Source organism: Homo sapiens, chromosome 11 (genome assembly GCF_000001405.40).
Source record: "Homo sapiens chromosome 11, GRCh38.p14 Primary Assembly".
In the NCBI taxonomy this organism is placed as follows: Eukaryota; Metazoa; Chordata; class Mammalia; order Primates; family Hominidae; genus Homo; species Homo sapiens.
This window is the reverse complement of record NC_000011.10, coordinates 76,163,377-76,169,376: the sequence shown is the minus strand read 5'-3', so window position 1 is coordinate 76,169,376 and position 6,000 is coordinate 76,163,377. Positions and strand designations below refer to the sequence as shown.

The following is a 6,000-nucleotide window of genomic DNA, read 5'->3' as shown; positions in this document are numbered from 1 at the left end:
GCTTGTCAGCCTCTCAGCTGCCCTCTCTCATTTCCAGATGGAGAAATAGGACTCGGAGATGGGCAGAGACTTCGTGGGGGCCACACATCAGTGGCAGGTGGGGTTGAACTTCCTGCTCTGCCCTTGTGGCCTGAGCTGGGAACCTCCCCCCTCTCCAGCCCAGCCCCAGAGGTCCACCTCACCCCATTCCTCCCTTGTTGCCTGCCTGGAAGGAAGAGGACCCAGGGGCCCTCTGTGGTGGCCTCCAGACTCTGATTGGCCTGGGAGGCACACAGCTCTTGGCTCTGTGGGAGAAAAGGTGTTCCTCCAGTCACAGCAGTCCCACAAGGGCAGGCGCTGACCCAAGTGGGAAGAAGTGCGCTTCCGATCCCTGGGAGTGTCCAAGCAAGGGCTGGAGGCTACTGCTGAGTGGGGTGGGTGGTTTCAGTGACCAGCAAGAGTCCTTCCAGGCACAGAGTTTCCAAGATTCTGAGTGTTAGTGATCTCCTGAGTTTGGATTAAATGCCACTCCCTCCCCAGACTCCTTCTAGCCCTGACTCCAGGATTTTTTGAGCCTCTTGGCCAAGCCCTGCAGCAAGTGAACATACAGATCAGAACCTCAATCCCTGCTCACCAACAGCAGGCAGTGACTTTGCATCTCCAAGCCTCAGTGGCTCCCTCTGTAAAATGGGGACCATCACAGTGGCACCTGCTTCACAAGTAATGGTGGGGATAAAGTGAGGGGCCACACGTGAAAGCCATGTGTGAACTAGATCAGGAACTCATAAACTTGACTCTGGCCTGGACGGCTCTACAGGACGAGACGGTGGGGGCAGAGACAATGTGGCTGGGGGAGATAAAGGCACTGAGTGGACATAAGGGCTGCGTGTGGGCAAATGAGCCATGGGAGCCAGGGCTGGGGGCTTGAATGCCGGGCAGAAGCCCCAGGACCTGCGTGAGTGGACACGTGTTTCCCAACGGGATGCCAGGAGGGCACATCCATCACTGCTGGGGCCCTGCCAGCCCAGGCTCCAGCTACTGGAAGTGGCGGAAGATCAAAGGGCCTTGAGGGTGGCCAGGGGCGGTGGCTCACGCCTGTAATCCCAGCACTTTGGGAGGCCGAGGCGGGCGGATCACGAGGTCAGGAGTTTGAGACCAGCCTGGCCAACATGGTGAAACCCCGTCTCTACTAAAAATACAAAAATTAGCTGGGCGTGGTAGCGGGTGCCTGTAATCCCAGCTACTGGGGAGGCTGAGGCAGGAGAATCACTTGAACCTAGGAGGCGGAGGCTGCAGTGAGCCAAAAATCATGCCATTGCACTCCAGCCTGGTCTCTCCATCTGTAAAATGGGCGGGCTGGACCCACTGCTCTTCAAGGGGGCCTTACAGCCCTGGGGTGGGAGGGGAGGGCAGGGCAAGGGTTCCAGAAGGGAGGCCTTCAGCTCAGGTTTAACAAGCTGTCTGTTTGGTTGGAACTGATCAAAACCAGACTGGTGCTGAGCCGTGTCTCTGCTTCGCATGGAGTGAAGCTGCCAAGAATTCATCCCTCACTGTTTCCAGTAAATAACTGGGCTCCCACGGGGATCCCAGGGCGGGCTGGACGTCTCACCTCCTCTCTTCACAGTGAACTTGACCGGGGGGCCGGAAGGAAGGAGACCCCCGGCCAGGCCTCCAGCTGTGCTCTCACCGCATCAGCCCGTGGCAGATGGGCGTTGGCTCAGTGGGCCGCCCACCTGTCCCGTGGTCACAGTGGTGAGGGCTGCCAGCTGGACCCCACAGGGCCCACATGCCTGGGAGTCTGGCCCTGTTATCTCCTTCATTCATGCAGTCAACAAACCTTCGAAGAACTGTAATGGAGGCAGCCGCCCTCCTCAGGCTCCTCGACGCCTCTCAGGGGTCCTGGAGTGTCAGCACCTCTTCCTTAATTGTTCTTCCTGTTCATAAAAGAGAAGAGGCAGCACTTTGGGAGGCCGAGGCGGGCAGATCACCTGAGTTCGGGAGTTTGAGACCAGCCTGACCAACATGGAGAAACCCTGTCTCTACTAAAAATACAAAATTAGCCGGGCGTGGCAGCACTTGCCTGTAATCCCAGCTACTCGGGAGGCTGAGGCAGGAGTATCTCTTGAACGTGGGAGGTGGAGGTTGCAGTGAGCGAGATTGCACCATTCCACTACAGCCTGGGCAACAAAAGCAAAACTCCGTCTCAAAAAAAAGAAAGAAAAAGAAAGAAAGGAGGAAGCGCAGAACCAGGTTTTGACTAGTGAGGCTGTGTTAGCAGCGCGGTGACATCTTCCTTCAGTTCCATGGGTTGCCCGTGACTCTGTGTATGCTGACCCTATGGGAGGTGCCCGCAAAGCCAAGGGGCTGTGCCTAGCAGAGGTGAGGGCTGGGCTGAAAGACCCCTGCACGGCATGCACATACACACAACTTTGTCAGGACCTGCCTAAAACAAAAAATAGAGAGATTTCGACTCAATAGGGTGGGCTGGGTCTGGGAGTCTGCATTTTAGCAAGGGTTCCAGGTCAGGTAAGGTGGCTCACACCTGTAATCCCACGAGATAGGAGGATTGTTTGAGCCCTGGAGTTCCAGGCCAGCCTGGGCAATAGAGTGAGACCCAGATCCTATCTCTATAAAACATAAATTTAAAAAACACAAGGGTTCCAGGTGATTCTCCCTCCCTGCCTGTTGGGGAACTGAGATGATCCACCTGATCTTGGTAGGATGCTCGCCCTGGTCTCTAGGGTTACAACCTTGGAGTTCTCTGGGCCTCTGAGTCACCCTTTTTGCTTCAAAACAAAACCCCTAAAAGCCACAGAAAATGTCAAGATGTGGTTGGCAATAGGCATGCATCAGCTGCCCTCTCACGCTAAGGACTGAGGGACTGGGTTCCATCCCCCAGAGGAGAGCTTGCATTTGAAAGGGCACTGACCAGCGCGAGGAGCCTAACTGGCTGAGCTGTCGGAAGACAGGGCTGGCCTCCTGCAGGTACCCTCCTGCGTGAGTGTAAGGGACACTAGCAGCCCTTGTGTGCTGCAGGTCTGGGGGCTCTATCCTGCTGCCAATCTGCCTGCAGTGATTCTCTATAGGTGGGGAGGCCAGGATGTTCCCCCCAACACGGGGGCACAGCCAAGTCCCCTTGCTCTCATTCACATTTTGTCACAGGATTGAATTCGCTTTGATTTTCAAATATTAAGAGAATATTAAAAGATGGCATGAGGCCAGGAGTGGTGCCCACGCCTGCAATCCCAGCACTTTCAGAGGCTGAGGCAGGTGGATTGCCTGAGCTCAGGACTTAGAGACCAGCCTGGGCAACATGGAGAAACCCTATCTCTACTAAAAATATAAAAATTACCCGGGCATGGTGGCACCTGCCTGTGTTCCCAGCTACTCAGGAGGCTGAGGCACAAGAATCGCTTGAATTCAAGAGGCAGAGGTTGCAGTGAGCCAAGACGGTGCCACTGCACTCCAGCCCTACTCCATCTCAAAATAAAATAAAATAATAAAATAAAATGAGGCATGAAATTTGTATGGCCACCGAAAGGGAGCATGGATTTTTAGAGTTGTGGAAGCCTTGTGAGGGTAGTGGCTGCCAGCCTCCCCTGCCCGCCAGTCCTCATTCTGGGCTGCACACTTGAGTTTGGAGTTCGGGTTCTGAGATACTGGTTTTGCTTCTGAGCTCTAGTGGGCTCAAACCAAGGATGAAGAGGTCCCAGACAGCCCTCGGGGACCCTGACAACATTCTCTGAATACATGGATGAACAAGAGCAGCAGAAGGATGAAGAGAGAGGGCGGGCAAGCGTGGAGGGAGAACCCATCTCCACTCCCCGGGCCTGTCTTTGGCAGCAGCTCCACTTCCCACGACCCTATGCATGTGTCCTCCGTGTGCGTGTGTCCCCACTGTGCGTGCATCCCCCCGTGCGTGTGTCCTCCCTGTGCGTGCGTCCTCCCAAGCATGTCTCTCCCCATGCGTACGTCCCCCCGTGCATGCATCCCCCCCGTGCACATGTCCTCCTTGTGCGTGCGTCCCCCTTGTGCATGTGTCCCACCTTGCATGCGTCCTCCCTGTGCCTGCATCTCCCCTGTGTGTATGTCCCCGCTGTGCCTACGTCCCCCCCGTGCCTATGTCCCCCCCGTGCCTGTGTCCCCCCCGTGCCTATGTCTCCCCATGCGTGCGGCCCCCCGTGCGTGAGTCAACCCTGTGCATTTGTCACCCCTGTGCGCATGTCCCTTCCGTGCGTGTGTCCTCCCGTGCATGCGTCCCCCCGTGCCTGTGTCCCCTCCGTGCCTGTGTCCTCCCTGTGCGTGCGTTCCCCTTGTGCATGAGTCCCTGCTGTGTGTGTCCCCCCTGTGCCTGTGTCCTCCCGTGCGTGCGTTGCCCTTGTGCGTGCATCCCCCCTCTGCGTGCATTCCCCCGTGCCTGTGTCCCCCCTGTGCGTGTGTCCCCTCTGTGCGTGTGTCGCTTCCTCCCTTTGGGACTACGCGTGTGTCCCCCCTGTGCTTGTGTCCCCCCTGTGCGTGTGTGCCCCCTGTGCGTATGTCCCCTCTGTGCGTGTGTCGCTTCCTCCCTTTGGGACTACGCGTGTGTCCCCCCTGTGCTTGTGTCCCCCCTGTGCGTGTGTCCCCCCTGTGCGTATGTCCCCTCTGTGCGTGTGTCGCTTCCTCCCTTTGGGACTACGCGTGTGTCCCCCCTGTGCTTGTGTCCCCCCTGTGCGTGTGTCCCCTCTGTGCGTGTGTCGCTTCCTCCCTTTGGGACTACGCGTGTGTCCCCCCTGTGCGTGCGTCCCCCCTGTGCGTATGTCCTCTCTGTGCGTGTGTCGTTTCCTCCCTTTGGGGCTACACATGTGTCCCCCCGTGCGTGTGTCCCCTCTGTGCATGTGTCCCCCGTGCGTGTGTCCCCGTGTGCATGTGTCCCCCGTGCGTGTGTCCCCGTGTGCATGTGTCCCCCGTGCGTGTGTCCCCGTGTGCATGTGTCCCCCCTGCGTGTGTGTCCCCTTGTGCGTGTCGTTTCCTCCCTTGGGGCTACAGGCTCAGGTTGCACAGAGGTGTCCCTGGGGGCAGGGGGACTCTCTTTCCCTTGTGACCCTGGGAAAGGGACTTGTCCTTGCAAACAGGTTTATCTCACCACCTGGACCACTCTGGCTCCTCCTGCCTTCGCTCCCTCGGGCCCTCTGTGAGCGGTCAGTCTGGTGTTGGAAACAGCACCCACGCCCTTCCCCACTCCCATCGTGCATCTCCTGCTTTCTCCCAACCCCTAACTCCCAACAGCAAAGCTGGCTTGGAGGAGGAGAGAGGGGACTCCCCCTGCCTCCCCACTCAGGTGGATGAAGCTCCAGGAGGTGAGTTTGCAATTGCAGGGGCCTTAAAAACACGGTGGGTCAGTGGGTACTGCCTCAGTTGCTCACTCGTTCCCTTAACAAGCGCTTCATTGGGCTCTGGGGACCTGAGAGGACTCAAACTCACCAGGTACAGGCCCACCTTGGACTATCCCTGCTCTCCCTGACCCCAGATGGAGGGCACCTCCTGGCACAGTTTGGGTGGGATCCTCCTCTGGATCCTAGCACCTGGCCCAGACAGGGAGGGTCAGACAAGACCCCAGCCTTCCCCAAACCTACACCACCCAGGGCATGTCTGCCCTAGAGAAGGTGGGGAGCAGGGAGCACCCCCGCCAGGGGCCTTGGTGAGGGAGGCACTGGCACGCAGAGGCTGGAGACAGAGGCTCAATGCATGTGGGTGCTGGCCCCGCTAGTGAGCTGGCTGGGCCCCAGCACCTCCGTCCAGAGTGCCCTCCGCTCTGGGGGAGCCCAGTACTCCTCCGGGACGCCTGCACCGCCTGCCCCAAGTCATCATGCAGGGAGAGGGTGGAAGGCTGGTGGCTGAAGTTGCCAGTGGACAGCTCAGCCTCCAAGGGGCCTCCCCCTGATCTAACAGGCACGTGCCTCTGCCTGGGCTTCCAGTTTGTGACTGGTTATCCCTGTAGTTTGACAGATTAGCCTTCATGGAATAGCCCCGAGGGACTGTGGG

The 6,000-nt window shown here is 58.2% G+C and overlaps 1 annotated feature.

The window, feature by feature from the left end:
* Nucleotides 3,909-4,602: an enhancer, noted in NCBI's record as "H3K4me1 hESC enhancer chr11:75875819-75876512 (GRCh37/hg19 assembly coordinates)". NCBI's record gives its function as "activates a minimal SCP1, AML or CMV promoter by ChIP-STARR-seq in naive H9 embryonic stem cells {active_cell/tissue: H9 hESC(naive)}" and the evidence as "EXISTENCE:reporter gene assay evidence [ECO:0000049][PMID:30033119]".